The 19,628-nt window shown below is 46.3% G+C and overlaps 1 protein-coding gene across 4 annotated transcripts in view, besides 5 other annotated features; it reads left to right on the forward strand.

Moving 5' to 3' along the window:
- Positions 8,286-8,495: an enhancer, noted in NCBI's record as "active region_19645". NCBI's record gives its function as "activates an Ori minimal core promoter by ATAC-STARR-seq in GM12878 lymphoblastoid cells {active_cell/tissue: GM12878}" and the evidence as "EXISTENCE:reporter gene assay evidence [ECO:0000049][PMID:35858748]".
- Positions 10,495-10,794: a silencer, noted in NCBI's record as "silent region_14183". NCBI's record gives its function as "represses an Ori minimal core promoter by ATAC-STARR-seq in GM12878 lymphoblastoid cells {active_cell/tissue: GM12878}" and the evidence as "EXISTENCE:reporter gene assay evidence [ECO:0000049][PMID:35858748]".
- CRTAP (cartilage associated protein) overlaps positions 10,665-19,628 on the forward strand; it is a 33,760-nt gene continuing 24,796 nt past the window's right edge. For 3 of the 4 annotated variants that reach the window (NM_006371.5, NM_001393363.1, NM_001393364.1), the window contains exons 1-2: positions 10,665-11,199; positions 16,995-17,144. In NM_006371.5, coding sequence (NP_006362.1) covers positions 10,729-11,199; positions 16,995-17,144 — 621 coding nt within the window. In that variant the 5' untranslated portion in view covers positions 10,665-10,728. The remainder of the gene's footprint in view (positions 11,200-16,994; positions 17,145-19,628) is intronic. The other variant, NM_001393365.1, reaches the window with a different exon arrangement.
- Positions 11,235-11,424: a silencer, noted in NCBI's record as "silent region_14184". NCBI's record gives its function as "represses an Ori minimal core promoter by ATAC-STARR-seq in GM12878 lymphoblastoid cells {active_cell/tissue: GM12878}" and the evidence as "EXISTENCE:reporter gene assay evidence [ECO:0000049][PMID:35858748]".
- Positions 11,376-12,367: an enhancer, noted in NCBI's record as "H3K27ac hESC enhancer chr3:33156217-33157208 (GRCh37/hg19 assembly coordinates)". NCBI's record gives its function as "activates a minimal SCP1, AML or CMV promoter by ChIP-STARR-seq in naive H9 embryonic stem cells {active_cell/tissue: H9 hESC(naive)}" and the evidence as "EXISTENCE:reporter gene assay evidence [ECO:0000049][PMID:30033119]".
- Positions 12,951-13,099: a silencer, noted in NCBI's record as "fragment chr3:33157792-33157940 (GRCh37/hg19 assembly coordinates)". NCBI's record gives its function as "represses an EF-1alpha promoter that drives an FKBP-Casp9 reporter gene in an ReSE screen in HepG2 liver carcinoma cells {active_cell/tissue: HepG2}" and the evidence as "EXISTENCE:reporter gene assay evidence [ECO:0000049][PMID:32094911]".

Here is a 19,628-nt window from a genome sequence, read left to right on the forward strand (position 1 = left end):
ACTATAATAATATGTTTATACTTCCATACATATAATTATATATTACACATAATACACATGTACCTTACATGAAAATGGTGGGAGACCAAGTGATAGAGCAAATAAAGCAAAATGTTAACAATTGATGAAGTAGGTAAACAGCATACAATAATTCTTAAGTCAAAATTAGAAGTTATTTAAAAAACTGAAAATAACGAGGTCTCTGGCCTACAAATGTGGGCAATTCTGCTGTGCAGCAATTCCTTAGCCTCCTCACACGTCTTTGAGCTTTCTGATGCAAAAAGTCCTGAAACCTAACTTGTCCTGGGGTTAAGTCGTGCAACCAATTTGATGGGTATGGTTATGAAACAACAACAAAAAAATTGTGAAATCATCAGCCAACAGTTTCTCTACAGTTCCTAATAAAAATTGATAGCTGTGATGAGGTACAGGACTATGCCTTATGGTAGTCACAGGTTTTGAGATGACTTTTTCCCCATGCTTACCCTCTGGGAGTCTGAGATATCTGAAAACATAAAATGCCTCAAGTGAGGCCTGCCTTAAGAAAAAAAAAGATGTTGCTTCAAACATTCTTCTCTCCTGTCTTCTGTCTGTCACCTTCCTGTCATGGGCATCTGCTCCCCAGAGTCTCTCAGATGCATCTTTGCAGGTTTGTTTTTTCTTTTTCTTTTTCTTTTTCGAGATGGAGTCTCACTCTGTTGCCCAGGCTGGGGTACAGTGGTGCGATCTCAGCTCACTGCAACCTCTACCTCCCAGGTTCAAGCGATTCCCGTGCCTCAGCCTCCTGAGTAGCTGGGATTACAGGTGCACACCACCATGCCTGGCTAATTTTTGTATTTTCAGTAGAGACGGGGTTTTACCATGTTGGCCAGGCTGGTCTCAAACTCCTGACCTCAGGTGATCCACCCACCTCAGCCTCCTAAAGTGTTGGGATTACAGGCATGAGCCACCGCACCCAGCCTATTTCTTTATTCTGTTTCTTTTTTCCCCCTCATGTCTAATCTACCACCAAAGCCTGTCATTTCTTCTTCACCTGGACCCCTGGAGCTAGCCCACCCTCTTTGTTTTTGTAGCCATGCCTGCAGTTGTGGTTCCCTCCTTCTGTGAATGATCATAGTAGTTTTCTAGCTAGATTGAAGGTTAAAACTAGATGTGGCCAGAAAAGCTATTTGATTTGACACTGTCCGTGTTGACCCACCAGTGTGTTTGATTTTATTTAATTACAGTAGTTGTCAACATTTAATCAGGGGAATTTACATAATATGGATTTCCAGTTTCTCTTCAAAGATCAGAAGGTCTGGCCACGCCAGGCCCAAGATCCCATGAGGTAACAGTACTCCAGAGATACGAGTTGGGACATTCCTTAGGCAGAATATGTCTCTCCAGTTGGCAGCCCTCTCCATCTGATTCACTTCTTTCTTTTTTTTTTTTTTTTTTTTTTGGGTAGTGACAGGGTCTCACTCTGTTGCCCAGGCTGTAGTGCAATCATAGCTCACTGCAGCCTTGAACTCCTGGGCACAAGAGATACTCCTGAGTAGCTAGGACTACAGATATGCGCTTTTTAAATTTTTTTTAATTTTTGTTTTATTTGTAGAGATAGGGTCTTGCTATGTTGCCCAGGCTGGTCTTGAGCTCCTGGCCTCAAGCAATCCTCTCACCTTAGCCTCCCAAAACACTGACATTACAGGTGTGAGCCATCACACCTAGCTTTGGTTTGCCTTTTGTTTGACATGAACTGCAGTGGGCCCCAAGGTAGAATAAACTGACATTTGCAACTTCTGGGTCAGAGTCTCAGTGGTAATTTGGTCGAACCTCCATGATTACTGTATACGACATACTCTATGATGCCTAGATTCTCTAGTCACCTTTCTCCTGAACTCTCAGCTGCCTCTCTACCATAGCTACTGCTGCAGCACATATGCCACCCAAAGCCAACCATCTGGAGTCTCTGGCTCCTCCAGACTCTTCTGGACTCACTGGAATGAGGCACCATGCTTCCCAAGTGGCTGCCAAAGACGCTAGCTAGGTGGTGGTACCCACAAGGGCAGGTAAGTTAACTCCCACATGGAGAAGCCCAGTGCAGTGGAAGACCAGAGATGAGCCAATAAATAAATTTCCTCTGCCTTCCCCCCTCTGCTGAACTATTTCAAGATGTGGTTTCTCTGACCAGAGACATTCCACATGGTATAGTGGGTGCACCTGCCAACAAACTGTCTCCGTGTCTTTAAGGCTGGCATGAAGCACTAGCCTGCACAGTAACTCACTACCTGGCACCACTTCTCCTCCTTTCCTGCCTCATTTCCCTTTCTTCTCATTGTCACTGTCGTGCACTGTACCTCCCAAATACAGGATTAGTATTTAGTTCTTGCCACAGGCTCTGTTTTCTAGAGAGTTCAAGATGAGATAATCAGTTGCTCAACATGATGAACTATTTGAGCTTTCTCCAACCTATGCACTTCCTGAGCTTTCTCCAACCTAGGGTTTTGGGGAAGTCTGTTAGATTTTGTTTTAAGGATTATGGGTTTATAGCTCATCCCCAATTCAAATCCCAGACCTAATGCCTTTTTTAAAATGAAGTAATCACTGATTGAACTAGCTAAAGGAGTTCTTTCCTTCCAGAAATTCTCGTAGCGTTCTACATACATCTAACTTTTGACATTTATTTATTTAATTAATTAATTTATTTATTTTTTTGAGATAGAGTCTTACTCTGTCACCCTGGCTGGAGTGCAATGGAGTGATCTCAGCTCACTGCAACCTCGGCCTCCTGGGTTCAAGCAATTCTCCTGCCTCAGCCTTTCATATAGCTGGGATTACAGGCGCCCACCACCACACCCGGCTAATTTTTGTATTTTTAGTAGAGACAGGGTTTCACCATGTTGGCCAGGCTGGTCTTGAACTCCTGACCTCAGGTGATCCACCTGCCTCGGCCTCCCAAAGTGCTGGGATTACAGGTGTGAGCCACCGTGCTTGGCCTAACTTTTGACATTTATCTTTTTTCTTTATCTGTGTTATGGGTCTTTATATTCTGTGCTTCAATTCGGGCCCTCCCATTTCTTGTGGGAATCACTTCAGGAGTCTCCCATACTGCTTTATGGCTCCCAGGCCCAACACTCTCTTCCCCATAAGCCTTTGCATATGTTGTGCCCTCTGCCAACAGACTTCTTCCTTTTCCATTTTTGTCTCCAGTCAACTTCTATTCTATCTTTTCATATTCTTTAAAGGAATTCAAGCATGGCCGCTTGGAAAAGCCATTCCAGACTCACCTTCAGACTAGGTTACCCAGCCCTCTTTGGGGTCCCCACAAGTACTCTGTCCACATCTCTATTCCAGCTCCATCAGTAGGGTGATTAAAGGTTTACTTATCTGTCATTTCCTAATTTTGAGTTCTCTGAGGCAAAAGTTGATATCATTTCTTTAATATAGCATCTGGAATACAATTCGCTATAGGTTTATGTAACAAATGAAACAATAAATAAATATTGCATTTCCTCTACTACACAGTCAAGGAAGTATGTCTGTTTCATCTTTGCATTTCAGCACCAAGTGCAGGACCTGGTAAAAGGTAGATGCTGAACAGTGTACTGAAAGAATGAATAAATTCACGATATAAAAGAGAATTTGTCACTTAAGTCACCTGGGGGAACATTGCCTTCTTTGGTGAGGAGACACCCTTAGACAAAGCTCTAATGAGGCTAACCAGCCACTCAAGCAGAAGGCAGCCACACTAGACATCTGGTTTCATTTCCTTTTACAAATTCTGTTGAATTGGCTAGGCATGGTGGCTCACACCTGTAATCCCAACACTTTGGGAGGCTGAGGTGGGTGGATCACCTGAAGTCAGGAGTTCAAGACCAGCCTGGCCAATATGGTGAAACCCCGTTTTTACTAAAAATACAAAAATTAGCCAGGCGTGGTGGTGTGCACCTGTAATCCCAGCTACTCAGGAGGCTGAGGCATGGGAATTGCTTGAACATGGGAGGTGGAGGGTGCAGTGAGCTGAGATCGCATCACTGCACCCCAGCCTGGGCAACAGAGTGAGACTCCATTAAAAAAAATTCTATTGAATTATAATGGAAAGCAACTGTTCCCTCCACCTCCACCTGTCCACAGACAGCCTTGCTCCTCAAAGGCAATTCCACCTGACTTCTGCCGGCCCACACTCCCTTTCTTTATGCTTTATGCTCTCTCCACAGTGGCCCTCTCTCAGTCTCTTGTAATCTTTATGTCTCCTTCCACCCATCTTCTCTGGGAGCAATGCATTGGCTTGTGATATTTGGAGGTAGCCTGGGATCCAACCAGCTCCCTGAGATTCCCCAAACTCCATTGTCAAAGTTGAGTGGTCTGGATGTAGCACAGAGCTGATGGACCTGAGGGGCCTTGGCTAAAGGAGATGGGGAATGACTTATCAATGGTGACCAACCAGGACCCAATGATGTTTCAGCAGAGGCCAGAGTGCACATACAACAGTCTCTCCCCATCAATCTCACCAGGTTGACTCAAACTGACTTCAAAGACAAGAGAAGGAGCAATATAAGAAGAAAGAACAGTTATCCTTCTTGAACTTTTCGTCAATGCATCTATTAGCTAGTGCTATGTAACAAACTACCCCCCCAAACTTAGAGGCCAATAGCAATCTTTTTTTTATTCTGAGACATGAGTTTTACTCTTGTTGCCCAGGCTGGAGTGCAATGGCGCAATCTTGGCTCACCACAACCTCCGCCTCCTGGGTTCAAGCGATTCTCCTGCCTCAGCCTCCCGAGTAGCTGGGATTACAGGCATGTGCCACCATGCCCAGCTAATTTTGTATTTTTAGTAGAGACGGGGTTTCTCCATGTTGGTCAGGCTGGTCTCGAACTCCCAACCTCAGGTGATCTGCCCACCTCGGCCTCCCAAAGTGCTGGGATTACAGGCGGGAGACACTGCGCCCAGCCAGCAATCGTTTATTTAGTTCATGATTCCGCAGGTCAGCTGAGCGATTCTTCTGGTTTTGGCTCTACTGGACTTCCCATGCCTCTGCAGACAGCTGGTGAAACTCCTGGTGTGGAATGATCCAGGATGGCCTGACGCATACAATTGAGAAGTGGCAGAAACAATGGAAAGACAATTGGGTCACATGTCTCTCAACCTTCAGCAGGCTAGCCTAGGTATAAGCACATGAAGGAAGGGTTCCAAGTACCATGAAAGAGGTGAGTCCCAGTGCATATTTGGGACCTTTTCTGCTGTCTCACTGACAAAAGTAAATCACACATCCAAACCCCATCCAAAGGGTGGAGAAACTGACTCTGCTTCTTGGTGGAGAACCTCCTCTTGGTGGAGATTGCCAAGGGGCATGGATGTGGAGAAGGCAGGAATTAAAAAAAAAATTTTTTTTGAGTCCGCATCTTACTCTGTCACCTAGGCTGGAGTGCAGTGGCGTGGGCTCAGCTCACTGCAACCTCTACCTCCCAGGTTCAAGCGATTCTCTTGCCTCAGCCTCCCAAGTAGCTGGGACTACAGGCACATGGCACCATGCCCGGCTAACTTTTTGTATTTTTAATAGAGATGGGGTTTCACTGTGTTAGCCAGGATGGTCTCCATCTCCTGACCTTGTGATCTGCCTGCCTTGGCCTCCCAAAGTGATGGGATTACAGGTGTGAACCACCTTGCCCGGCCTCTTTTTTTTTTTTTTTTTTTTTTTTGAGACAGAGTCTCACTCTGTCGCCCAGGCTGGAGTGCAGTGGCACAATCTCCGCTCACTGCAACCTCTGCCTCCTGGGTTCAAGCAATTCTCCTGCCTCAGCCTCCTAAGTAGCTGGGATTATAGGTGCTTGCCCTGCTAATTTTTTGTAGAGATGGGGTTTCACAATGTTGGCCAGGCTGATCTCAAACTCCTGACCTCAGGTGATCCACCCACCTTGGCCTCCCAAATCTGAAATAACAGCCCTGGGCAAAGGCTCTTTGGCAGGAGTTGGTAAGGCAAGGGCAAGACAGAGGAAGAAGCTGTGGCCAGAGCTTAGTATCTTGTTCAATTGAGTGATTGTGTGAGATGATTCCAAATTGTATCTCTTTGCTACTGGGAATGATAGTTACTGGCGATTTCCAGGGTAAGATGTTCTAGGATCAGGTACACATTGCGCACCATCTCCCAGCACAGCTCTCTCCACAGGCACCCTCCTCTTTCAGGTCTCTGTCCAAATGCCACCTCCTTAACCAATCTTCCCCCACCTCATCTCATTCAGCTTTTTAATTTTCTTCATATCACTACTGCAATCTTTTCTTTTTCCAAAAATTGTTTTTAAAAAAATAAAACCACGAAATATATATAAAATAATATTTACAAAATATATGTATGGCATGAAAAGTAACGACGCAATAAACATTCTCACATTTACTCCCCAATCCCTCCCCTGCGTCTGACCCTCTGCCATTCCATGTTCTTCCTCCTACCTCACTGGAAACCACTATCCTAAGTTTCTGTTTATCATTTCCCTCCCCTGCCCTCCCCTCCCCTTCCCTCTTTCTCTCTTTCTTTCCTTCCTTCTTTCTTTTTTCTTTTTTTTGAGAGAGTCTTGCTGTGTCGCCCAGGCTGGAGTGCAGTGGCACAATCTCGCCCCACTGCAACCTCTGTCTTCTGGGTTCAAGCTGTTCTCCCACCTCAGCCTTCCCAGTAGCTGGGATTACAGGCATGTGCCACCACACCCAGCTAATTTTTTGTATTTTTAGTAGAGACAGGGTTTCACCATGTTGGCTAGGCTGGTCTCCAACTCCTGACCTCAAGTGATCCACCCATCTTGGCCTCCCAAAGTGCTGGGATTACAGGTGTGAGCCACCGCGCCCAGCCTATCATTCTCTTTTCAATATAGTTTTACCCTGTATAAGGTAGGACTATATTATTTTTACTCCTAAATAATACATTGTGTGTTTTTCCATATTTTAAAACTTTAGGGTCGGGCGTGGTGGCTCACACCTGTAATCCCAGCACTTTGGGAGGCCGAGGTGGATGGATCACAAGGTCAGGAGTTCAAGACCAGCCTAGCCAAGATGGTGAAACCCTGTCTATACTAAAAACTACAAAAATTAGCCAGGTGCAGGCCGGGTGCAGTGGCTCACGCATGTAATCCCAGCACTTTGGGAGGCCGAGATGGGTGGATCACTTGAGGTCAGGAGTTTGAGACCAGCCTGACCAACATGGTAAAACCCCATCTCTACTAAAAATACAAAATATTAGCCAGCTGTGGTGGCGGGCGCCCGTAATCCCAGCTACTCAGGAGGCTGAGGCAGGAGAATTGCTTGAAACTGGGAGGCAGAGGTTGCAGTGAGCCGAGATCGCACCACTGTACTCCAGCCTGGGCGACAGAGTGAGACTCAGTCTTAAAAAAAAAAAAAAAAAAATTAGCTGGGTGTGGTGGCAGGTGCCTGTAATCCCAGCTACTCGGGAAGCTGAGGCAGGAGAATCGCTTGAACCCGGGCGGTAGAGGTTGCAGTGAGCCAAGATGGCGCCACTGCACTCCAGCCTGGGCGACAGAGCGAGACTCTGTCTCAAAAAAAAAAAAACAAAAAACAAAAAACAAACAAACAAAAAAACTTTAGGCAAATGGAATCATTCTCAATGGTTCCCCCCCGCCCCCAGATTGAACTGTTATTTGTAGCTCTAATTCTTTCATTTTCCCTGCTATAATATATTCTTCTATATGCATTTACTCTCATTTTTTTTTAAATCTACTCTTCTGTTTATGGACAGGTTATTCCTGCTTTCTGCCATTAAGAACAATGTTGCGTTACCTTACTGTAGACACTTGTTAATTACAAAAGAAAACAAATGAAGTAGGGAAAACAGACATCACCTTAATAAAGTGATCAAAATTAACACAGACAAGGGGTGGGCATTGTGTTATTTAGATTTTACACCTGAGACGGATGGCACATTGCTTCTGTGGCATTCTAGCCAAAGAGCTTAATCTGAATTTAGTCATGAGCTTAATCTGAATTTAGTCATGAGCTTAATCTGAATTTAGTCATGAGGAAACATCAGGAAAACCTCAAATGAGGAACTTTTTATAAAGTTAACTGGCCTGTGTTCTTTAAAAAAAAAAAAAAAAAAAGGCCAGGCGCGGTGGCTCATGCCTGTAATCCCAGCACTTTAGGAGGCCGAGGCAGGTGGATCATGAGGTCAGGAGTTTGAGACCAGACTGACCAATACGGTGAAACCAGTCTCTACTAAAAATACAAACATTAGCCTGGCATGGTGGCACGGGCCTGTAATCTTAGCTACTCAGGAGGCTGAGGCAGGAGAATCGCTTGAACCCTGGAGGTGGAGATTGCAGTGAGCTGAGATCATGCCATTGCACTCCAGCCTCTGCAGCAGAGCGAGACTCCATCTCAAAACAAAACAAAAAACAAAAAAAAGACTTTATTTTTTAGAGTGGTTTTAGATTCATAGCGAAACTGAGCGGAAACTACAGAGTTCAAATATACTCCATGACCCTACAACATGCGCAAGCTCCCCCACTGTCAATGTCTTGCACTAGAATGGTACATTTGTTACAATCAATGAACCTACATCAACACATCGTTATCACCCAAAGTCCGGTTTACATTAGGGCTCACTCTTAGTGTTGTACATATTATGGATTTTAACAAATGTATAGCATATATCCACCATTATACTATCATATAGAATAGTTTCACTGCTCCAATAATCCTGTCCTCTACCCATTCATTCCTCCCTTTCCATAATTCTCAGCAACCACTGATCCTTTTACTGTCTCCATAGTTTTGCCTTTTCCAGAATGTCATTTGGCTGGAATCACACAGTATGTAGCCTTTTCAGTTTGGCTTCTTTCAACCAGTAATATGCATTTAAGACTTCTCCATGTCTTTTCATGGCTTGATAGCTCATTTCTTTTTGGCTTGGAATAAAATTCCATTGTGTGTATATACCACAGTTTATGTATCCACTTACCCACTGAAGGACATCTTGGTTGATTCCAAGTTATGGTAATTGTGAATAAAGTTGCTACAAACATCCATTCGCAGGTGTGTGCATAAGTTTTAACCCATTTGGGTAAATACCAAGAAGTGCAATTTCTGGATTGTATGAGTAGAGTATGCCTAGTTTTGTAAGAAACGGCCCAACTGTCTTCTAAACTGTATGTACCATTTTGCATTGCCACTATCAATGAATGAGAGTTCCTGTTGCTCCACATCCTTGTCAGCATGTGACGTTGTCAGTGTTTTGGATTTTGTAGTGGTATCTCATTGCTGTTTTGGCCTATATTTTTCAAAAATGACAACGGCATGACAAGAAAAGCCGAGGAACCAGTTTAAAGGATATGAAATAGACTAGATGTAACAGTGATCACGGATGGACTGCATCCTAAGAGAAAAAAGTGCCATGAAAGACATAATTGGAACAGCTGACATAACCGGAAATGGAACATGATTAAAGTCTTCTATCAGTATTAAATTTCCTAAATTTGATTGTCTGGTAGTTTCATTCTTAGGACATACATACTGAAAGACTAAGGGGTTGGGCACGGTGGCTCACGCCTGTAATCCCAGCACTTTGGGAGGCAGAGGCAGGTAGATCACCTAAGGTCAGGAGTTCAAGAACAGCCTGGCCAACATGGCAAAACCTCATCTCTAGTAAAAAATAGAAAAATTAGCCAGGTATGGTGGTGTGTGCCTATGATCCCAGCTACTCGGGAGGCTAAGGCAGGGAGAATTGCTTGAACCCGGGAGGCGGAGGTTGCAGTGAGCCGAGATCGCGCCACTGCACTCCAGCCTGGGTGACAGGGCGAGACTCCGTCTCAAAAAAAAAAAAAGGAAAAAAAAAAAGAAAAAAAAAAGACTAACGGACAGTGGGCCTGATACATGCAACCTATCTCAAATGAGTCAGAAAAAAATGTAAAGATAGAAATGTGGTATAACGTTAGCAACTTGTGAATCTTGATGAAGGGTATATAGGAACTTTTTGTACTGTTTTTGCAGCTTTCTTGTAAATTATTTCAAGATTTAAAAGTTTAAAGATTTTTTAAAAGTGCTGCCATTAACATTCCATCCATATTTTTTGATGCACACGCGCAAGCTTCTCCAGCATATTCCACCGAATGGTGTTGCAGATTCATAAGGTGTGCACATCTTCAACCTGACTAGCTATACAGTTTACAAAGTGCTGACATCCTTATTAATTTTATTTTTGCACTGTCTTTTTCTCTCACTAAAATTTAAGGTTGGGCAGTGCTATTAAAAGTGCGGCCCTTGGGCCCGCAGCATTAGCCTCATCAGGGTGCTGGTTAAACACACAAATCGTCAGACCTCCACCCCAGACTTTCTGAATCAGAAACTCTGGGGGCACAGCCCAGGAATCTTCGTTTTCACAAACCTCCAAACGAATATAAAGATCGTAGATTATATAGACCGTAGGGCCGATGTATATAATCTATTAGGGCCGCGTCGGCCTTGCAGGCGGGTCTCCAAGTGAATGAGCGGCAGAGTCCCATCATGCGCATCAGCCTGCGTGAACCAGTGCGCAGCGCGCCTTTCCCGGGCACCCTCTAGGTGCTGGCAGCTGGCGCCCAGATCCCCCGGCTGGGTGGGGAGGGGCGGCCGGACGGGGCGGGCCGGAGGCTGGCGTCCCCGCCCCGAAAGCACTGGGCCCGCCGCGTCGCACCGTCCTCTTTCCTTTCCTTCTCCCTCCCCTTTTCCCTTCCTTCGTCCCTTCCTTCCTTCCTTTCGCCGGGCGCGATGGAGCCGGGGCGCCGGGGGGCCGCGGCGCTGCTAGCGCTGCTGTGCGTGGCCTGCGCGCTGCGCGCCGGGCGCGCCCAATACGAACGCTACAGCTTCCGCAGCTTCCCACGGGACGAGCTGATGCCGCTCGAGTCGGCCTACCGGCACGCGCTGGACAAGTACAGCGGCGAGCACTGGGCCGAGAGCGTGGGCTACCTGGAGATCAGCCTGCGGCTGCACCGCTTGCTGCGCGACAGCGAGGCCTTCTGCCACCGCAACTGCAGCGCCGCGCCGCAGCCCGAGCCCGCCGCCGGCCTCGCCAGCTATCCCGAGCTGCGCCTCTTCGGGGGCCTGCTGCGCCGCGCGCACTGCCTCAAGCGCTGCAAGCAGGGCCTGCCAGCCTTCCGCCAGTCCCAGCCCAGCCGCGAGGTGCTGGCGGACTTCCAGCGCCGCGAGCCCTACAAGTTCCTGCAGTTCGCTTACTTCAAGGCAAGTCCGCCTCGCCCCGTCCCAGGCCCCGGCCCCGCCCCTGACCCAGCCTCCAGGCCCTAGCCCCGCCCCTGCGCCCGGGGCCGCGTTGCCCCTCCAGTTCTAGACCTGGCTCCCTCCCATCCAGCCCTGCCAAAGGTCTCCTCCAAGTCCTGTCTCCTTCTTCATCTCAACTAGAGATGAAAATGCCTTTCTTGAAGGGTAACTCTAAGGTAGAGAATACGTACACAGAACGCAGTACAGCGCCAGGCACCCAACAAAGTGCCTGATAAATGTTCTCTGTTATTTGAGGGCAGACGCCTCTTTTCTGTATATACCATTAAAGTCGCCTTTTTTCTCAAGTGAGCGGTGACTTGCGATAATAAAGCAGAAGACCTGAGGAGCCGACAAGTACCTTTTATTTTTATTTTTTGTTGAGACAGGGTCTCACAGTCGCCCAGGCTGGAGTGCAGAGGCGCTATCATGGCTCACTGCAGCCTTGACCTCCTCAGGCTCAGGTGATCCTCCACCTCAGCCTCCTGAGTAGCTGGGATTATAGGCGCGCGCCACCACACCTAGCTAATTTTTTGGTATTTTCTGTAGAGACAGAGTTTCGCCACGTTGCCCAGGCTGATCTCGAACTCCCGGACTCAAGTGATCCTCCCACCTCGCCTCCCAGAGTTCTGGGATTACAGTCGTGAGCCATTGCACCCAGCTGACTAGTTCCTTTTAAAGAGGATGAAATTGAGGCCAGGGAAGGGCAGGGACTCCTTGCAAGGACACATCCCTGCTTAAAGGGGAACTCGTGCACCGTGAGTCATCAGGATTGGCCCTCTCCGCTGTTTCTCTCTTTCATCTAGAATTTAACACAGTTCACTGCCTCCTTTTAATGGCTGCTTAAGTTCTCTCTGTGATTGCTGGCTAAAAATAGCCACAAATTGCAGTTCTCTATCCTATGGGTTCTCACTCCGAGGACCCACAAGTTTTAAGAATGGTTAGATTCCCTGTCACTAGATAAAGAGGCTCTAGCTTGGTGGGTCCTCACAGGGTTTGGCTAAAAGAGCCCTCTCAAAGCCCAGTTTCTACTTTCTCTGAGAAAGATTTTAAAAGGAATATATTGTGTTTTTTAAAATTACTACAAAAATAGATTCATGGCATATCCTAGACTCTTGAGGTAGAAGGTTTTTGTTTTTAAACTTTGTTTTCAGTTTCTGGACTGCAAGATCTGTTTTTTCAGATTTCCACCGAGACAGAGCCACGTGTATATTGTATTTATATGAGCAATAAAATAACACAAAACCCCAAAGAGGGGAAAAGCTGGGTTACTTCTATACTTCTATGCTTAGTTACAGTTTTATTTAAAGTATCAGTTTTGTGAATGTTTGTTCTGGCAATTAAAAAAAAACAGTTTTAAAACAGAAGCAGGGAATGAGATTAATAAAATTCCAGAATGTTGAAAATGAGGGCTGGTTCATACAAAGCATCATTTTTTAAGCTAAAAATGACTTATCTAATTCTTTTTTTGTATAGCTTTTGGCAAATATGTTCTGAACCAAATTTAGGTCACATAATCAAGAGGAAATCATTTTATTTTTAAACCTAGAGAATACTAGAACCTCTGATTTCTTTAATATACAGATGAATTTGAACAAGTGTTACAGGGAAGAGGGGAAGAACATTTTACTCAATGTGACCAAAAGGCATGGGTTTTCTCTTTCATCATGGTGGCCCCAAAAGGTTAGGATGGTCATAGCTTCTCTTCAAAACCCTTTACAGGTCTTGTAACAATCACTTAGTTGAAAGTCAGTAAAATACTATCTATCTATCTGTCTATCTATCTGTTTTTTTTGAGACACAGTTTCACTTTGTCACCCAGACTGGAATGCAGTGGCACGATCTCAGCTCGCTGCAACCTCTGCCTCCAGGGTGCAAGCAATTCTTGTATCTCAGCCTCCTGAGTAGCTGGGATTACGGGCATGTGCCACCACACCCAGCTAATTTTTGTATTTTTAGTAGAGATGGGGTTTCACCATGTTGGCCAGGCTGGTCTCGAACTTCTAACCTCAAGTGATCCACCTACCTTGGCCTCCCAAAATGCTGAGATTACAGTCTGGGATTTGAACCACCATGCCCGGCCACCATCTTAACATTTTGAGATCTCATATAGGGCAGGAAAAAGCTAAGAATTTTATTAATAAACGTGAATGTTACTTAATTGTTTCAATGGAAGATATAACTGAAAAAGTAATTTTTGGTGGAGATATTGTATGGTGTATTTTTTCTCAATGATGTTTATGGCTTGGCATGATGGCTCATGCCTATAATCCCAGCACTTTGGGATGCCAAGGTGGGAGGATCTCTTGAGTCCAAGAGTTCAAGACCAGCCTGGGCAATATAATGAGATCTCATCTGTACAAAAACATTAAAAAATTAGCCGGGTGTGGTGGCGTGCCTTTCTAGTTTCAGCTACTCAGGAGGCTGAGGCTGGAGGATCACTTGAGCCCAGAAAGTCAAGGCTGCAGTGAGCTGTGATCTTACCACTGCACTCCAGCCTGGGTGACAGAACAAGACTCTTGTGTCAAAAAAAAGTGATGTTTACGTGTTTAAACTCTGTTTATGGATAGAGAGGAAAAGATGGGTGGCAGGCACATACATTCTACCTGGCACCTGAAGGCTGGAGGTCGATATGAAGGTAGATAGTGCGCTGTGGCAGGACATGGATAAATGTTACTCTGCTGTTCTGAGTTGCAGTTCTCTGTTTCAGTGATTAAGGAGAAATGCCTCAATTGATCACTGGAATAGCAATGGTGGGTTCCGACTGCCAGAGGGAGGCGAGGAGGTTTGGATGTGTGCTCTTGTAGAAAAGGGCTGTGCTACTGGTGTGCAGCCTCAGGTGCATCATAGGTTTCTCGTCACCAGCCTACTCTAGGTCCATGTCATTAGCTTTCTTTGGGTTCTCTCCACAATTACCATCTTCCACGAAAAACTCATTTTTCTCATAGGCCAAGCAAAAAGTAGGCCGGAGCACTTCATCAAATCCTTAATGACTGTTGAGCTCTAACCTGGACAGAGAACACTGACTCACAGGCACTGTTAACCCCAGGCCTTGCCTGGCTGTGGCCTCTAACTCCCCGGAACCACAGGGCCTGCCTCTGTGTCATGGCTGATTTAGGGTGGCTCATGCTGGTGGCTGTATCTCAGGAACCCAAGGCAAGGTGGTTCCCTCCATCCCTACCACCTTCTCCAAAATCTGCCTGGGGTCTGTCAGAGGTTTGGTAGCCAAGATGTGTCTCCATGTTCCAGCTGCAGAGCCTGAGTTGAAGTAAATAAAATCACTCTTTTCTCTTCAGGAAGAGATTCCGTTTTGTAAAACATCCTAAGTTAGAAGCCTTAAAAATCCTACTCTGTGCCCCTCTTTCTATTCCTTTCTTTCTTTCTTTCTTTCTTTTTTGAGACGGAATCTCACTGTGTCACCCAGACTGGAGTGCAGTGGTGCGATCCTGGCTCACTGCAACCTCCGCCCCCCGGGTTCAAGTGATTCTCCTGCCTCAGCCTCCCGAGTAGCTGGGATTACAAGCACCTGCCACTGTGCCTGGCTAATTTTTGTCTTTTTAGTAGAGATGGGGTTTCATCATCTTGGCCAGGCTGATCTTGGACTCCTGACCTCGTGATCCACCCACCTCGACCTCCTAAAGTGCTGGGATTACAGGCATGAGCCACTGCTCCCGGCCTCTGTGCCCCTCTTTCTAAGTGCTGTTCTGAGAATTAGTGACTCTAATTTCACTGGCAAATGCTTTAAAAGGCAGCATTCATACCCTCTCCCTTCCTTCCAGCTGAAGACTAGCCTTTTTCTGGCCAGGAGTGTGAAGCTTTCTGTAGGGCTGTTTTAAAGGCAGCCCTGCCACAAGCCACTAATTGGCATTCCCAAAACATCAGCATTGACATCTGGGAGTCTGCCCTCATCACCACCCACCACTTCTCTGATGTGGCCACTGCCATTGTCTCAAAATGACTTGGTTCCAATTCTGGGGCAATTCGGTACCGATATATGCCATCCTATGACTCTTAGAAGTCTAGGGTATACCAAATATTCCTTTATTTTCTCTGTCTAAACCGAATTCCCTAATTCCCGCCTTGGAGCGTCCCTCTGGATTGGCTGAGTCTCTGTGCACATGCACAGGTGCCTGCCCTTCTCCCTACTAGGTTGTGCCAAGAGTCCATCAGCATGGGGGCCCTCTGGTTGGTGGTCATGAGTCCTCACAGGGAGGCCTCTGCATCCTTATTTGCCTGCCCTCCTGAGGTCCTGCCATAACATACCTGTTCTTCCTGAGGACTTCTGCCGTCTTGAACACTGCCGATAAGTGCCAGCCCTGAAGCTCCGGGGCCCGCAGCCCTGCTGCTCTCACAGATCCCAAGGGAAACTTTTTTCCTAGCCTGGGAGATTCCCTTTCTCCCTCTTCTTCTCCCAGGCCAGTCAGCTTCTTCCTGCAGCTCCTCTCCAATTTCTTTCTCCCCTCAAACCTGTCAGGCTCTTTTGTGAGTGCAGGCTTTTTTCAAGTGAATAATTTGCTGGTTCTGACCAGATATCTACCTCCCCTGAGACAGTGAAACTCAGAATCATTGGCCCCTTCAATGGAGAGAAGACAGAGGGGAAAAGAGAGGAAAATGTGAATTAATTTTATTATATTTTATGGTCATAATGTCATTATGTTCAAATCACAGATACTTATTGTGTCCTGCCTTGTCCTGAGGACTGTGTGAGGCACCAGGAATCCAGATAATGAATGACACACAGCTGGGTCCCCCGAGGATCATAGTCTGATGGGGGAGATAGACGTACCACTGAGATTGTAGGGTGGCGTAAAATGCGGGAAGACAGAACCCAGAACTAGCCCAACAGAGAGGCTCTTAATTGAGGCCACTAGGAGACAGGGAGAACTTAACAGAATATATGGTCCATGCAGGTGGGGATTTTTTTTTCCTGTTTTGCTTATTGTTATAGACCCACAACCTAGAAATGGTGCTCTTGTAATATGACGTTTATTGCTGCATGAATGGATGAATAAGTGAGGAGGTGGTGGAGTCATTGAGAATGTTAGCAGAAGGTCTGTGGGGGATTTGGGAAAACAATATATTTGTCAAGGTGCCAGTGGAAAAGATATGGTGCAGTCATATTGGGTAATTGGAGGAAAGTTTAAGAAGGTGGTTATTTACAAAGGTGTGTGCAGTGCATGGGGAATCCACAAGAGATAGTGTTCTGCCACAGGGGTGATAGCAGTGGGATATGACCAACCCTAGGCCAAAAGGGGCAGGGGAGAGAGCAGTGATTGAAACCGGGAAGGAGGGAGACTCTATGGAGAGGGTCACCTTGAGAAGAACTGTGATCTTCAATTAAGGGACATAGCAGCCCAAGAGGACTGTGCAGGGAGGGAACCAGGAAATGAAATAACATGACCTTACTCTCTTCCCTTCCTCAGTCATCTACTGGGGCTCCTCATGGGTGAACCTCTTTGGAAGCCAGAGAGCGAGGGAGTCTGTTGTTATAGTCCACACAGGCCAGCCTCCTGGGGCATGTAGCCAGTGCAGAGTAGATTGGGAAAGGCAGACCGAGGCCATCCAGACAGTCGCTTTCAGGAAATCAGCACTTGTCTCACAGTGCCTGGACTTGGTCTTGAGGGGCCCTGGAAGTCATGGAACCTTTAGCTGGAAAAGTTATAGCAACACAAAGTTTCTGAAGGACTAAGCAGATATTCTTGTTTTACAAAAATTACCACTTAGCATCCATGGAGTAGCTTTTATGTTCTTTGTCCTTTTAGGCAAATAATCTCCCCAAAGCCATCGCCGCTGCTCACACCTTTCTACTGAAGCATCCTGATGACGAAATGATGAAGAGGAACATGGCATATTATAAGAGCCTGCCTGGTGCCGAGGACTACATTAAAGACCTGGAAACCAAGTCATATGAAGTATGTTTGGATTTTTATGTGGCAGTTAGTGGCAACCTGGACTGTTAAAGAAATGTCTCTCCATAAGCAGCTGCTGATAGCTAAGGACCTCTAGTGATTTTTGGTGACATTTGCTGAATATTATGACAATAGAAATGATTGACTTTTAGCACAAAGTGATCCATTTAATAATGATATTTTGTATGCCGTGATGATTTTAAAAGCCATGTTCCCTTTAAATGCTACATTTTAGAAATATGGTCATTTAATTATTTAGTTTTAAGAGGGTAGATTAAAGACATATCTTGGAAATCATCTAAAATGACCAGGAACACAAGAAATAGAAACATAAATCTCCAGTTTTGATGAAATGAGAAGGCATATATTTTTATACACACTTGCACACAAACGCACCCTAAATATATTAAGGTAGAAAATGAAGACGAGTTAGGAAGGCTGATGTGACAGAGTAGAGGACACTTAAATCTGCGCATCTACGAAGAAGAGTTTTGATGAGAATTAGTCGTAAGAACAACAATAAGAAAGAACGATCTCGCCCTTTTGAGCACTCACTATTGTCAAGGTCTTCTGGAACTCAGGCACTGGGGGCCTGGGTTTCAAGCAAGGGCAGGGCATTGTTGAAAATGGGAATTTGGCTGGGCACAGTGGCTCATGCCTGTAATCCCAGCACTTTGGGAGGCCGAGGCGGATGGATCACCTGAGGTCAGGAGTTTGAGACCAGCCTGGCCAATATGGTGAAACCCCGTCTCTACTAAAAATACAAAAATTAGCTGGGCGTGGTGACTCAGCATGTCTGTAAACCCAGCTACTCGAGAGGCTGAGGCAGGAGAATCACTTCATCCCGGGAGACAGAGGTTGCAATGAGCTGAGATTGCGCCACTGCACTCCAGCCTGGGCGACAGAGCGAGACTCTGTCTCAAAAAAAATGAAAGAAAATGGGGATATGTGGAAAATATCCACTAGAAGTTATAGTTCCCAAGGCCTGACCACAGGGTTTTCTGTAGAGTGATCAGATCTCAGGCTCACTTTTTGACTGCTAGGGAAAATGTATGTGTGGAAGTCTCTTTTTGGGGGTATCTGTCAGTTTTCCAGGGAAGACTTCACCAGCCTTCTGCAGGGCTGGTGGGGTGCGCATACTCCTCTGCTGGTGTCTGAGAACCAGTGTGGGGAGAGGGACAGGGTCACCCAGGTGAGTAGGAATACTTCACCTGCTTCCTGATTTTAGCCTCATGCCTCCACTTGGCCTCTGCTACGTCTGGTCCCTGACTCCTCAGCCTTTATGGGTAAAGTCTCTAGAATAAACTGCCACTCTCTGGTGAAGAGTGGCTTTGGGAGATATGATCTCTTGGGTGGGTGGGTAGGTGCTGGGAGCGGACCCAGGACCCCAACAGCCTGTTCAAACTTGCAGCCCTGCTTCTAGCTCCATGCCTTACCCCAGCCTCCCGTGGTCCCTCATGCCTGCGCATGCCAATGGGACATATAGCTTGCTTCCCCTCTGGCCCCTCCTTTGTGACTATTTCACTTCCTGCCTTTCCAAAAGTTGTTGAAATCTCATCTGCTGCTTGCTCCCTTCCCATTCTCCCATAAAAGCAATTTATGCCTTTCATAGTCTTCACTGTTGTTTTCATAGGGTTTGGGGAACGAAGCCGAGTGCGTGTGGTCAGTGCCCTGGGCTTATCTGGAATTCAGCTAGTCCTGTTGGCCCTCACTGGAGCCCTTTTGGGGTGGCTGTGCTGCCCTCCTGTGTGATCAGGGGCCTCCTCTTTCTGCTTGGTCCTTCTTGCTGCTGCTGCTGCCCCGCTGCTTCTGCAGAACCAGCTGTCTGGAGTTGGCTACTTATTGACCCATTCTTCAGGAAAGGCTCCTTCAGTTCTCAGCCTGTCTTATTTCCAGGGCATGTGGCCTGCCCAGGAGGTTTAAGAAAATCCACCCTCGGCCAGGCGCGGTCCTCATGCCTGTAATCCCAGCACTTTGGGAGGCCAAGGTGGGTGGATCACGAGGTCAGGAGTTCAAGACCAGCTGGGGCAAGATGGTGAAACCCTGTCTCTACTAAAAATACAAAAAAATTAGCCAGGCGTGGTGGCAGGCACCTGTAATCCTAGCTACTCGGGAGACTGAGGCAGAGAGAATTGCCTGAACCCAGGAGTTGGAGGTTGCAGTGAGCTGAGATTGCACCACTGCATTCGAGCCTGGGCAACAGAGCAAGACTCTGTCTCAAAAAAAAAAAAAAAAAAAAAAAGAAGAAGAAAATCCACTGTCTTTACCTGAGGCCTTAAGCTTGGTGAAAATTCTAGGTCTAAGGGGTGCCCTCAGATACCACCATTCCAGAGCAGCTGAGAACTCCAAATGGAGGGTCCCATGCTTATTCAGGGCCTGTCCTGGCCTCTGCAAGTTAGCAGGTTTTGTGTGTATCCAGGATCTCTACTTATTTCTTGGAGACCAAGCTACTTCCTTGGTCCTAGTTTATTTCTCTCTCTCTTTTTT

Source organism: Homo sapiens, chromosome 3 (genome assembly GCF_000001405.40).
Source record: "Homo sapiens chromosome 3, GRCh38.p14 Primary Assembly".
Taxonomy (NCBI): Eukaryota; Metazoa; Chordata; class Mammalia; order Primates; family Hominidae; genus Homo; species Homo sapiens.